This window comes from Homo sapiens, chromosome 18 (assembly GCF_000001405.40).
Source record: "Homo sapiens chromosome 18, GRCh38.p14 Primary Assembly".
NCBI classification, from domain to species: Eukaryota; Metazoa; Chordata; class Mammalia; order Primates; family Hominidae; genus Homo; species Homo sapiens.
The window spans coordinates 2,506,387-2,521,104 of record NC_000018.10 but is presented as its reverse complement, the minus strand read 5'-3'; the positions used below and the strand labels follow the sequence as shown (position 1 = coordinate 2,521,104).

Below are 14,718 nucleotides of genomic sequence, written 5' to 3'. Positions count from 1 at the left end.
CTGTAAAGTGCAGTTTACAAAGGACTGCTACATGCAGTGTCTTATTTGTCCTCACAACTCTGTGGGGCAGACATTATTTACATTATTATACATCCCTCTTTTACAAATGAGGCCCGGAGAGGTTAAGTGACTTGTCTACTGTTTTACCCACAGTGATAGTCAGGTCTCAAACCCTCTTCTCCTTTTTCCCAAATGGAAGTAAGAGTTTTCTAGAAGGTGGGGATTAATAGAGGTTTCAGACCTGTAGAAATATTTAAGAAGATGTAATATTGCAATAATATTTATAGCTTTCCTAAGAAACAGCCATGTCAGTGGAATAGAAAGATTGGAAGACAGTTGGCCGGGCGCGGTGGCTCACGCCTGTAATCCCAGCACTTTTGGAGGCCAAGGCGGGTGGATCATGAGGTCAGGAGATCGAGACCATCTTGGCCAACATGGTGAAACCCCGTCTCTACTAAAAATACAAAAATTAGCCAGATGTGGTGGCGCATGCCTGTAGTCCCAGCTACTCGGGAGGCTGAGGCAGGAGAATCGCTTGAACCCAGGAGGAAGAGGTTGGAGTGAGCCAAGATCGTGCCACTGCACTCCAGCCTGGCGACAGAGTGCGACTCCATCTCAAAAAATATGATTTTAATAACCCCACAAACTATTCTATAATATTAGCTCAGTTGTAAATGTATGGTTTTCAAATAATTTAGAGTTGCTAAAGCGGTACAACTCATAATACTAAGAGAACATTGTCAATTCTTTTGCACATAGAAATAATTATTTTCTGGAGTGTTTAAGGACTACAAATCTGTGCCCTGATTCTCTAAAGTATTCATAAGCATTTTATAAAAGACATATATTGGTAAGAATTGCTATTATGCAAAATATATTTCAATTAGGATTTTACTGAATTTCTTATATCATTCAAGCTTTTCATGTCATTTTTTTTTTCAGTGTTCCATAGTTTAATGATGGAATACCTGTGGAAATAAATGTTTTAGAAAACTTTCTCCTATAAATATCAAGACAATCTTTTTTTTTTTTTTGAGACAGGGTCTTGCTCTGTTGCTCAAGTGGGAGTGCATTGGGGGTGATTATGGCTCACTGCAGCCTCAACCTCCCAGGCTTAAGCAACCCTCCCACCTCTCAGTCTCCTAAGTAGCTGGGGCTACAGGTGCATGCCACCACACACCACACATGGCTAATTTTTGTATTTTTGTAGAGACTGGGTCTCACCATGTTACCCAGGCTGATCTCAAACTCTATCAAGACAATTTTGTTAAAAATTATACAACTGCTATTGTTCTGATAGTCATATACCATCCCATGCCTGCCCAAATATAGTGAAGAGTGCATTCACATGATAGAAAACGTAGTGCCCACAGGGCTACAATGCATATCTGAAGCTTGTCTCCACCTCACTGAGACCCAGGGGATTTTGCGTATCGATAGACTTTGTTTTTACAATATTCTCAGTATTCTACTTGTAATTTCAATTGTTAGAGTTCACTTTAATTTTTTTTTTTTTTGAGACGGAGTCTTGCTTTGTCACCCAGGCTGGAGTGCAGTGGCGCGATCTCGACTCACTGCAACCTCCGCCTCCTGGGTTCAAGCGATTCTCCTGACTCAGCCTCCTGAGTAGCTGGGACTAGAGGTGCGTGCCACCACGCCCGGCTAATTTTTGTATTTTTAATAGAGATGGGGTTTCACCATATTGGTCAGGCTGGTCTTGAATTCCTGACCTCGTGATCCGCCTGCCTCAGCCTCCCAAAGTGCTGGGATTACAGGTGTGAGCCACCGCGCCTGGCCCACTTTAAATTTTTAATCTATGACATAATTGTTTTGCACATACCCAAGAAAAAGGACCAAAATATGACATAAGAATATTTTAGAAGTTTTCTCTTGAGCTTTTCAGTACATCTTGATAGAGGGGAAGATATGATGATAAAGTATTTGGCACTTGGGTCAACAATCTAGTTTATTCAGTAGTTCAGCAAATATTTTAAATATATCTACTTAGCACGTAGTCCAAGGGGATGTAGTCTGGAGCAAGACAGACATGGTCTTTGGCCTCCTGGGTTTACAATTTATAATTGCTGGATTACAGAGTATAGAATAGTAACAAAATGATAGAAAACTTAAATGTAAAAGATAAAAGGGCAACGGGAGTCGTGTGAGTTTGAGTGTGAGGACAGATAGCATGGCCATGCTATCTGCTCTGCCTCCTTAAAAGGTCACTGGAAGTTGGTTACTTCCATTCTGATAGAGGCCTCACCCTTCCCTGGCAACCCAGTCCACTAACAGCTGTATTTTGCTGAAGCATAAAACTTTAAGCCAGTGTTCTCTTCAGAGCCCAGACAGTCCTCTGCAGTTTGGAGAGTTCTTCCTGGACTGCACTAACAAAGGCCAACCTGTTTCGGGAAACTCTCGACACTTTCCTCTGTGTCAGCACAGTCACCTGGAATGCGTTCCAGCCGGAGCTGTGACTATTTAATCTCACTTTGTCTCTTAGCCCTGTCATCTTCCACACCCCTGAACTGTCAGTCTCTGTAGGCCTCTGTCCTTTCTGGCGAGGCTATTTCAGCAAGGCTTTAGGCCTACAACCCCTTCTCAAGCCATCCCCTTCATTGTCTTTTTTGCCAGGCCTTCTGCTGTGTGCTTTGGACTTCCTACATGCAGGCATTCTCCAGATTAACAGGGATGCTCATCCTGGCTAAGGATTCCACAGGTTCAAAACCAAGCTCATGAGAGTTCGATGTATTAATTCTCATAATTAGTCATATGTAAGTTTACTGCTGCTGGGAGTGAAGCTGAGTCCAAGATGCGAGGTGCCAGATGCAGAGGCAAAATGATTATATATAGATGGGGGAGAAGACCTTGAGAAAATCTGCTCCGTGGGACCGGACACTCAGGAAACAATTTTTCCTTCTCATGGAAAGCAGATCAGATGCCTAGAGATGATTGTGACCTGCAGTGCTTATGTGATGCAGATGTGGTCCTTTGTGCCGCTTCCCACAGATGGGAACATGAGAAAATGTGGAAGTTCTACTCATGTCCTGCTAAAAGCTCTTACATTTCATAATCATGATTATTTGCTTTATATATGTTTCCTTCAGTAGCCCACGTAAGGTAGGACAAAATTACAATTAGGTACACAGTTGGAATCATAACTTCTTGGCTGAGTGAAACAGCTAAAGGGATGGGGACACTCTCCTCTCCCTACTCCTACTTCCACCTCTGTCCTGCCTGCATAAGACCGTCTGGTCACACATACAGATGCTTAATTGTCAAGGTCAAGCACTGTCCCTCTATCACTCACCCAAGAAACTCACTGCTGAGGGAGTGTCGCTGCCTCTCAAATCCAGGGACATGTAGATGGTGGTAGAATCTCACCTTTCAGGTGGAAGTGTAGGAAATGTGCAGGCAAAACTACTAGGCCCTGCATTTGGTAGGAAATAAAAAGAGTCAAGTCTTTGGACAAATTTGATCACTTATATATAATTTCTGTTTCACTGGCAGCAAAACAACTGACACAAAATTGTGGCCAGAGAAAGAAGATATTCCAGGACCGGGCACGATGGCTCATGCCTGTAATCCCAACACTTTGGGAGGCCGAGGTGGGCGCATCACCTGAGGTCAGGAGTTGGAGACCAGCCTGCCAACATGGTGAAACCCCGCCTCTACTAAAATACAAAAGTTAACAGGGTGTGGTAGCCTGCACCTGTAGTCCCAGCTACTCGGGAGGTTGAGGCAGGAGAATTGCTCGAACCCGGGAGGTGGAGGCTGCCATGAGCCGAGATCGTGCCACTGCACTCCAGCCTGGGTGGTAGAGCGAGAGTCCATCTCAAAAAAAAAAAAAAAAAAAAAGAAAGAAGATATTCCTAATTTTGAAATGCCCTGTGACACCCTGACATTTTCTTACATACTCTTTAAAAAATATTAATAATAAAAAATAGAGTTTGCCTTTCAGTTTTAGTTATGGTATATTCTGACATACACATACTTACATTTTCATTTTATCAGATCATTTTTTTCTTTCTTTTTATGTTCAGAAACTCTGTGAGACTCCAAATACTACAATGTTGGGGTTCTTAAAACAGCCAGGGACTCCAGCATACAGCACCCTCCGTTCCTCCTCTGGAAGTGCTTTTCACCTGTAGCTATTAGAGTTCTCAGTTGAAAACAACAGAAACCAACTTTGGTTAACTTAAACATAAAAGGAATTGATTGCAAAGAAACCCAATAATGAGAAGGCTTGAGCATCGGGGTCAGAAGATGGGCAGGAGATGAGTGAGGCTGCGCAGCTGCAGCTGGAATCATGGCCTGGGCCTGGCACAGGGTCAGTTTGTTGTGGGGCCTGCTGCTGGGTCACCACCTCTGTCACTGCCACCACTGAGCCCTTGGCTATCTGTGTTCTGTAGTTTAATAATAAAATGTATGTAAAAATTTTAGGGTTAAAAATTACCATGACACTGTACTATTAAAAATTCTACTAACCTCTGTTTTCAAATTGTCTTCCCCCAACTTCCCCCAAATTGTCACATGAGAACAGACAATAGACTACATCACATGACAGGAAGTGGTGCTTTTAGGGCAGAAGTGAGTATTGGAAGTCCTTTCCTGCCCTACTGAAGCCTGAACAATATTGGGTATGGCATGTTTAATGTTACAATATACCTCATGTCCTGATGAGTCATGGGACCGTCATTTGAACTGCTGCTTGTGCTGTGAAAAATTTCTCAAGTTCACTGTGCCCTTACATGACTGTCTCAAGGTCCAGAGCGGGACATGGAGATGGCAGAACCTAAGTCACATGCTAGTGCCTTCTTTGTAAGGCTTCCCAAAAGTGTGCCCTGCCCCCACCTCCTCTGGGATTTCCCCCACAGTAGAAAGGGGGTTTGGATGCTGGAGAGTCAAAACAGAAGACTTCATAGTGCACCTATTTGCCCTTGCTGATACCCAGTGGTCTCCCACCTGCTTTGCATTCCGGCCAAGTGACTGCTGCTGCTCTCCAATCTCCATGACCACATCTGGGCAGGGGTGAGGTCAGCGTTCCTTTTATCCTTACTGCTATTTCAAAACCTTTGTTTCCTCCTCATGTTAGATCTTTCTGGAGGCTCATGCCATCTGGCTAGAATGTCCTTTATACCATTGTAGTTGGGGTTATTTATTATCTCTTCCACGTTCATTAGGAATGTCATCTAGCTCCCCATTCTGGTTCTATCTTTGTCCTGAGTGTGACTTTAACATATTTATGCCTTAATCGTCTAACATTTGACTTTATAATTAAAGTTGATCTTATAGTTGGCTTTACAGTTATGAGTTGGCCTCCATTTTAATCCTATAGACAACTTTAATTTAATGTTAAACTGAATTTACCATCTATCCATTCCAAACCTGCCTCTATTCCTGAATTCTTAGTTAACAGCATGACTATCCTCCAAGTTTCCCAAGCCAGGAATCAGTGAGTCATTCTGACTCCTCTTCCTTTCTGGGCATCTAATACCCAATCTAGTTACTGTAGATACCACATCCTTAAAAATCTCGAATCCATTTCTTGTCTTTATTTGTCTTAACCATTGCCTTAGTACAAGTTTAGATTTCTTTTCATGTGGTTAACTGTAATATCCTTCTGACTTATTTCTATTTTTAAAATGCATTCTCTTCAATCTATTCCCACATGCCAAAGTAATCTTCCTAAAACAAATCTGATCATCTCATTCTTTCCCTGAAATCCTTTTGTGGCTCCCTTAGGTCTCAGAATAAAAATAAAATTCATCCTTTTAAATAAAAGTCTGACCTTGATATGACCTTTGACTATTTCTGTGATTCAACTACTGTATTTCCTGTTAGGTGAATTTTGTTCTAGACAAATATAGAATTCTCCAAATTGGTGTTTTACTCTCTTTGCTTCTTTTCTATGTTCATGCCTATTAACATTTTATTTTATTTTTTGTTTTTATTTTTATTTTTATTTTTTGAGACAGAGTCTTGCCCTGTTGCCCAGTCTGGAGTGCAGTGGTGTGATCTCGGCTCACTGCAACCTCTGCCTCCTGGGTTCAAGCAATTCTCATGCCTCAGCCTCCAGAGTTGCTGGGATTACAGGCATGTGCCGCCACGCCTGGCTAATTTTTGTATTTTTGATAGAGAGAGAGTTTTGCCATATTGGCTAGGCTGGTCTTGAACTCCTGACCTCAAGTGATCCACCCGCCTTGGCCTCCTAAAGTGTTGGGATTACAGGTGTGAGCCACCGCGCCCAGCCCTCCTATTAACGTTTTAAAACTCAACGTAATTTTTGAGTGATATATTATAGGCAGGTAATATTTTTGAGATTTTTAGTATGGACTTGTGATCCAATTTGGAGCCAGCAGAGGCATTATCTGGGACTTTTCTCCTGAAGGAGCAGGAAAGGCCGTATTTTGCCTTTCAGGTTAGGGTGCTGTAAAGATGTGAACCTGGGGTTCCTACCACTTGGAGTAGGAACTCACGGAGTAGGGTACTCATGACAGAAAGAATGACATCTATGTCTAGAGGGAAGCAGAGATAAGGACTAGTGCAAGGGAGTATGAGAGTAAGAAACCAAGTCTTGGTGACATTATTTGGGTCCTGGATCTATTGTGCTTGATGTGAGATCTATTCTGGTTCTTTCTAGTTATTCGCTGATTAAATCCATTCCTCCACTTTTTCACTCCAACTAGAATGATTTAGCTTTTATCACTTGAGATCAAAAAAGTCCACGGAAATCCAATAGAATCAAAGAATTAAGATTCTTTATAATTGTAGTTTTTGACATGTTGCTTCTAGCTAGTATTATTTTGACAGATGGTTTTCATGGGAAACCTAGAGGCTTGTGTATATGTATGTGTTAACTTTTAAGTCTACATAAAGAGGGCTGTACTAAAGAGTAGCTCAGACTTTGCCTGAATTAGCACTGGAAGTATAAAAAGGGAAAGCCTAAGTGTCTTTTTAGAAAGCTTATTTGTAATTTTATATCATTTAGCCTAACCGTTCTCAACTCTGGCTGTACATTACATGCATCTAATAATTTTTTTTTTTTTTTTTTTTTTTGAGAGAGATGTCCCAATATGTTGCCCAGGCTGATCTTCAACTCTTGGGCTCAAGGGATCCTCCTGTTTCAGCCTCCTGAGTAGCTGGAATTATAAGTGTGCACCATTGTCCCGGCAATGCCTGTGACTCTCCCAGACAAAGTAAACAGAATGTCTGGGGATGGGAGACAAGCAATGGTTTTTTGTTGTTTTTTTTTTTGAAGCTTCTCAGGTTTCTACTTTCAACAAGGGTTGAGAACCACTGATCTAACATAATATTTTTCCTCTTTCCTTTGAGGAGTTCAGGTTACTCACACATGGCATCTGTTGGCCTCTTTTGCTCAATGTAATGTTCCCTGTAGTGAGCATAACATTAGAAACTAAGTTGCTGGCTTTCATGTTGTTTTCTAGGTTGACATTAATTTCTGCAAAACTGGCCAGGAACATGTGATTGAGCACGCCAGACCTTTATTTCTTAACGTAATAATGTGGCTATAAATGCAAGTCTCTATAAACTAAGTTACTCTAAATTGTCTTGCTTAGATTTGTATTTTCTGAGATTTATCTTGATAAGAGCTTTATTTAAAAAAAGTGACACTAGAAGTAAAGAGAATATAACTTTCAGTAATAAAACTGATGCAAAAGAAAACCATTAGAACGATACTAAAATAAACTCAACTGATGTAATTATGTGTTTAATCTGTGGACAAAAATGTTCCTTAGATTCAGATGTACATTTTAGTCTATTTTCCCTAAGAGTTCACCAACATTTCCATATTAAAAGCAGTTTCTGTCCAAGGTTAAAAGTATATTCAGTTTTTGATGATGTATCTGATTAAAGACAGATAAATATATATATATATTTGTTTGTTTGTTTGTTTGTTTTTTGAAACGGAGTCTCACTGTCACCCAGGCTCTAGTGCAGTGGCACCATGTAGGCTCACTGCAATATTCTGCCACAGAGGCTCAAGTGATTCTCGTGCCTCAGCCTCCCCAGTAGCTGGGATTACAGGTACCACCACGCCCAGCTAATTTTTTTATTTTTAGTAGAGATGGGGTTTCACCATGTTGGCCAGGCTGGTCTTGCACTCTTGCCTCAAGTGATGTACTGCCTTGGCCTCCCAAAGTGCTGGGATTACAGACATGAGCCACTGTACCCTGCCAAAGGCAGATACATTTTTTCTTAATTCCCAGTTTATGACAGCTACCAGTTGCCTTTAGGTATTATATATACACATACACATATTTGTTTTGTTTTACTCTAATTGCAATGGCATTTAAATAAATCCACAGAAAATGATGGCTAGAAAGAAAACAATAGAGAAATGTAGAAATTAATTAAATGTACTTAATTCATCATACAAGCATTTAACAGCAGGCTGGCAGGGTGCAATGGCTCATGCCTATAATCCCAGCACTCTGGGAGGCCCAGGTGGGAAGATTGCTTGAGGCCAGAAGGTAAAAATTAGCCTTGGCAACATATGAAGAACCCCTTTCTACAAAAAAATTAAAAAATTAGCCAGGTGTGTGGTGGTGTGTGCCTATAGTCCCAGCTACTCAGGAGGCTGGGCAGGAGGATCACTGAAGCCTAGGAGCTTGAGGCTGCAGTGAGCTATGATCACGCCACTGCACTCCAGCCTGGGCAACACAGTGGGACCTGGTCACAAACAATCAAACACCCAGCACGCCTTCTTTGTGCCCAACATGGCCTTCAGGCTGAGAGGAATACAATCCTGATCATCTGGAATTTATAGTCTAATTGGAGAGAGAAGACATAACAGAAAAATTAAATAAACTTACAGGAAGTATGTGATTGAATGTCAGTCTGAATGGTAATGACAATAAGTACTGTATCTCAGATAAGAGATATGTACAAAATAAGCTTCCTAGAAGATGTGAAATGATAAAGACTTTTTGGACTTTCTCTATAGGCTTCAATTCCCTGTGGTGGGTTTTTAGTTTCATATTTTGACAAGACTCAAATCAGAAGCAAGTTCCCTTGTTTTGTTTTCACAATCTACCTTTTTTAGAACATTGTTTAGAAAGTTATATATTGAGGGGTGAGCTGACATTATTTGACTAGATTTCCAAAACTTAAAATATGTAGGTTATAGTTTTAAAAATTTGGATTGAATTTTGTTTATCCCAGTTTCTTCTGATATAGTAGAAGGTTGTGCGAGCTCATAGAGAAATCTTGGCCGTTGGTCTAGAGGATTGTTAGTGAGTGACAGGGCTCAGATCCACAGAGCCTTTGGGGAATGGCTAATTATTTTAACCTGGGGGCTCTCATGAGCTTATTGACAAGTAGTCAGACACTCTGGCCTTCCCTAGGCATTTCCAGTTGCCCTTTCTAGTTTATCTTACCTCTGCTCGGGAATGGTAGCAACTGGAGGTGTCTCAATCATTACGAGTAATTAATGATTGACTTTTCCGATCCATTAGAGTGCCTATCCCACACAGATGGCACAGTCACATGTGACAATTCTAGAGTGGAAGAGAAAGAAATGAAATGTGGTGAACAATTGCACCTGTCTAATATCCTAGTTTTTTTGTGCTTCTAAGGGTGTGTCTAATGGAAACATTATTTACCACATGTGTCCTGGTGCCAAAAAGGTACAAAACAATTGTTCTAGTATAAGGATAGAGATAGTTCTTCTAGCATAAGGATAGAGATATTTCTTCTAGCATAAGGATAGAGATATTTCTTCTAGCATAAGGATAGAGATATCTCTTCTAGCATAAGGATAGAGATATTTCTCTATCCTTATACTTACTGGGAAAGAAAGCTCCCCTCCTCTTTTTTTTGTCTGGGTCTAAATCAACTTTTTGGTGGCTGGTCAAAATCGCTTTCCTTTCAGCCACTTGAATGCTGGTTCAATTAGGCCCTTTCTCCTCAGGGCACCTATCCCTTATTAAAAAATCACCTAAGTTGCCCTCGATGTTTAACAATGCCATCCACTTCTAATGACTTCTTACTGTTTTTTTTTTTCTCCTGAAATTCTCTAGCTTTCTTTATATGTTTGCCTCTTTGCTTTCATTCACTGTGGCTTTTTATTTTGATTCCTCCTCTGAGCATCAACTTCTGGTCCACTGTCTCAAATCAATTCTAGTATATCTACCAACTAATTACATTTCAATCCCTACAATGTCAGGTACCTTGGGCTTTCTCAAATTACTTTTGATTTGGGGAAAGAATTTAAAAAAATGTTTCCACTGCAATTATTTAATGATTCAACCTTCATAGAAACTTAAACTTCAGAGGAGCAAATAGCCTCAACAGAGGACTAATTAAGCTTCATGTTACCCTGGCGAAGTAGGGAGAATAAGTACGCAGTGAGGCTGCAATCATTTCCTCTGAAGTTCGATTAAAAGCCAAGTTTTAAAATGTTAGACCAGTGCTAATCTGCATGACTGCTTCGGGTTTCATTTGAGAAAGAATTGTGGTTGCAAACATTAACACTAAAATATGTGAATCTATTTCCATAATCAGGGCCCTACGGGATGGAGCCTAGATTTAATATGGTTTTGGTGCTTACGTGTTTTCCACTACATTGATTAATACTGTCCTCTCATGTGGAACCCAATCAGGAGCAACCTGCCAGAGGACTATTTTCTATAAATTTAAGCTGAACTAATATCTGTGGAAATCTTAAGACTAAAGAAGAGTTGATGAATATACTACAATTAAAGTTGCCTTGTAAATTGAAGAATGAAGCAGAGGATAATGAACATATTGAAATGATTCCACATGTTTTATGCATGACACATTTGTAATTAAAACGGATCCTGAAGGTAAGTTTGTATATACTAACATAATGATTGCAAAAAAGCAGAGTGTGTTATTAAATATCTCCAGGGCATATTTCCCAAATGGTGAGTGTAAAAATTTGGTACATTTCACTTCCTCAACAGTTGCTTATTAGAAACTAGAGATTGGGTGCACTGGCAAAACATACTTGTTAGGAAATTTGTCTATATTAATCAAATATATGCATATTATATAATAATCTATTGGCTCATTCCCAATTATAAATTTCTAAACAATGTTTAGGAATAACTTTAATTTCAATAACTCAATTAAATATTAGCATTTGTCAGCCAGGTGCGGTGGCTTATGTCCATAATCCCAGCACTTTGGGAGATGGAGGCTGGCGGATCACCTGAGGTCAGGCGTTTGAGACCAGCCTGGCCAACATGGTGAAACCCAGTCTCATTATGTGAAAAAAAAAAAAAATTAACATTTGTCAAAATTGCTCAATCTTACCAGAATCCTTCAAAATCTTTAACAACTCAACAGTTATTATCCATAGCAGCTCAATGCTGCATGACTATTATAGCCAGAGTCACCTCAGGATTTAATAATGATAATAAATACTGATAATGATTTACATTTACAAAATATATCAATCCCATTGCAGTTTTAAAAATATTATTACAACCTGTTTGATCATTTGATCCTTAAAATGTAGGAATAAATATTCTCTTACAAATGAGGGATATGGAGGCAAATTACACGTTCCACAGACTCTCATTTTTAGATTGTAAGTAAGAACTAGTTCCAATAATCTTTTGAATGAGTTATTAAAGTTGACTAAAATTTGGTTTCATAAATGAAAATTAGCAGGTAACTAGGGACTCTAATTCAGTATCTTTTGGCTAAAGCATCTGGCTATCATGTAGTTGTTGGCAAGTTTGCAAAACTCTCATTGCCCTTGTTCACATGTAGACAAATGCAATTCCCACAATATCAAAGAGAAATTCTTATCCCTAAATCATCCCTGGTTTTTTGAGTATGGTATTATTTGAAGTTGCTGCTCTTTTGCTTTGTAATTTTAAGTTAGTGTTATGAGTTGTTTGGTTAACTACAGCGTAGAGCATTGCATATTTGCAACAACCGTATTCTTGGCCCTGCTTTTCATCCAAAGTAGATTTTTAGCTGTGTGTGGCAACTTCTAAACCACTAAGTTGTGTGTATGCGCAGATATAAACTAGCATGTTTCTGTATTGAGTGAAGCAGATTCTTACCACAGCGAGAATGGGTGGGATGAGAAGGTCTTGGGGTCTTTGGCTTTCCTTAAGTGGACTGTGTTAAAGAGTGAGAACTACTTGTCTTCAGGAGTCCTGAGGTGGAGAATTACAAGTACCTGCTTGCTTGGCACGTGGTTACAGTGGTTACAGAGGCTCTGCATAGACACCTCCAGTTTTCATAAAGACCATGTTGATGTCATGTGTTTGTAAGAAGGAGTGGTAGACCTGCTTGCATTGAATCCAGGCTTTTGCTACACAACTATGAAGAAATAGAATCACAATTGCACGGGCCAGAGCCACCATTAAGCTTTATATGTACAAATTGTAAAAGTATTATTCTATTTTTTTCCCTGAAGCCATGATTTCTTACATATGCCTAACTCAAACTTTAAAATTAGAGGGAAACAGAGAGATTTGCCAGTCTAACTTTCTTATTTTTTGAAGGGAAAAAATGAGCCACAGAGAAATGTAGTGATTTAAGATCACAGAGGCTGAGACAGAATCAGTAATCAGAGTTCTTGATGCTCAGCCAAGTGTTATTTTATTTTCAATTTTTAAATTTATTTCTTGCATATGAAATATATTCACATGATTCAAAATTACCATAAGGCTTATAAATTTCCCTTCCATCCCATTCATCAGCCAAGCAGTCTTCTCTCTTTGTAAGGAAACAATGCTATGAGTTTTGTAAAAACGCTTGCAGAACTGCTTTATGCATATGCCAACAAATACGTAAGCAGACAGTTTTTTCATACAAATGGTAACATACTCTTCACATGGTTTTGTACTTTGTGTTTTTTTAACTTAATATTTGAAATTATTTTATATTGTTACAAAAAAAATCCTCATTAATTTTAATGGCTGTAGGATATTTCCTTCTTTTCTTTTTTGACAGTTTTGCTTTTGGTGCCTAGGCCGGAGTGCAATGGCACGATCTCGGCTCACTGCAACCTCCGCCTCCTGGGTTCAAGCAATTCTCCTGCCTCAGCCTCCCGAGTAGGTGGGATTACAGGTACCTGCCACCATGCCCAGTTAATTCTTTGTATTTTTTTAGTAGAGATGGGGTTTTGCCATGTTGGCCGGGCTGGTCTCAAACTCCTGCACAGCTCGGCCTCCCAAAGTGCTGGGACTACAGGCATGAGCCACAGCACCCTGCCAGCTGTAGGATATTTCATTGAGTGGATATATCATAATTTATTTAGCCAGTCACCTATTGATAGACTTGTAGGTTGTTTCCAGTCTTTTGCTATAGCAAGTAATGCTGCAGTGCATATCTTGTACGTGTATTGTTTTGTACTTGTTTGAATATATCTATATAAATTCCTAGAAAAGGAATTTTCTGTGTTTATGAGTAGATTATCTGATATATATTGCAGAACTGTACTTCAGAAAGGTTGAATCAACTTACATTCCTGCCAATAATATATGATATTGCTTATTTTCCCATATTCTTACCAACAGAGTGTTATTAAACGTTACCTAGCAACGTTTTTCAAAAATTGAAAAATGATGACTGAGTGTTGTTTTAAATTGCTCTTTTTTTTTTTTTTTGAGACTGAGTTTTGCTCTTGTTGCCTAGGCTGGAGTGCAGTGGCACAGTCTCAACTCACTGCAACCTCTGCCTCCTGGGTTCAAGCAATTCTCCTGCCTCAGCCTCCCGAGTAGCTGCGACTACAGGCCCTACTACCATGCCCAGCTAATTTTGTATTTTTAGTAGAGATGGGGTTTCACCATGTTGGCCAGGCTGGTCTTGAACTACTGACCTCAGGTGATCCGCTCGCCTCGCCTCCCAAAGTGCTGGGATTACAGGTGTGAGCCACCGTGCCTGGCCTTAAATTGCACTTCTCTTATGTTGAGTAATTTTAAATATCATTTCACATGCTCCAGAGCAATTTTGTCTTTCCTTTTCTGTGAACTGTATGTCAATATATTTCACCATTTTTCTACTAGTTTATTGGTCTTTTCTTTATCAGTGTTTGGGAAATTCTTCATAAATGAATGAACTTAACACTTTTTTTTTTTTCCAGCTACTCCCACTAAGTGCTCGGTACTGGGCTAGGACATGCTGCTCACTATTGTGAGTGATCGCAGCAACTCAGTTTTGAATATTTATATATGTTGAGGTGAAGGATCTTCCTTGACTACATCTGAGGAGTTGTGGAATCCTCAGAAGTAAGTCCTTCTAACAACACACTACAGTATGATGCGTTTCTGATCCAAGCTGCTGTGAATCCATGTCAGGAGAAACCTTCAGTTGTGTTTTAATAAATGAAAACACAGTAGGGCTGAGAAATCTGCAGCTACCTGGAAAAATAAACTCCTTCCCCCTTGGAAACTGCTAATTTCTTAAATATCCACATTTGCATTTAGTTTTGGGAATTTATATTGTTTCAATAAAAATGAGCATATTTGGTTTTGGCTTTGTTCTGTGTTATATCCTTACCATCTAACTCAAAAAGGGACCTCCCACTTACTAACACTAGGCAATCTTCATTTGTTAGGCATGTGAGGTAGGCATTACTCTCCCCACAGGACTAGAACTAAAGAGGTTAAATAAAATAAAAATTGAAAATGCATCCTTTTGTAGTGTATAGATCTGAGTGGTTTAGGTTTCAGCAAAAATACTTCCTTATTTGAAAATAATCTAGAGAGTCCT

General features: G+C 39.6%; 1 long non-coding RNA gene across 1 annotated transcript; it reads left to right on the top strand.

The window, feature by feature from the left end:
- Positions 1-3,839: 3,839 nt before the first annotated feature.
- LOC124904235 (uncharacterized) lies at positions 3,840-14,477 on the top strand. Its single transcript, XR_007066267.1, has 2 exons — positions 3,840-10,826; positions 14,090-14,477. It is a non-coding gene; the product is annotated as an uncharacterized LOC124904235 (long non-coding RNA).
- The last annotated feature ends 241 nt before the right edge of the window (positions 14,478-14,718 follow it).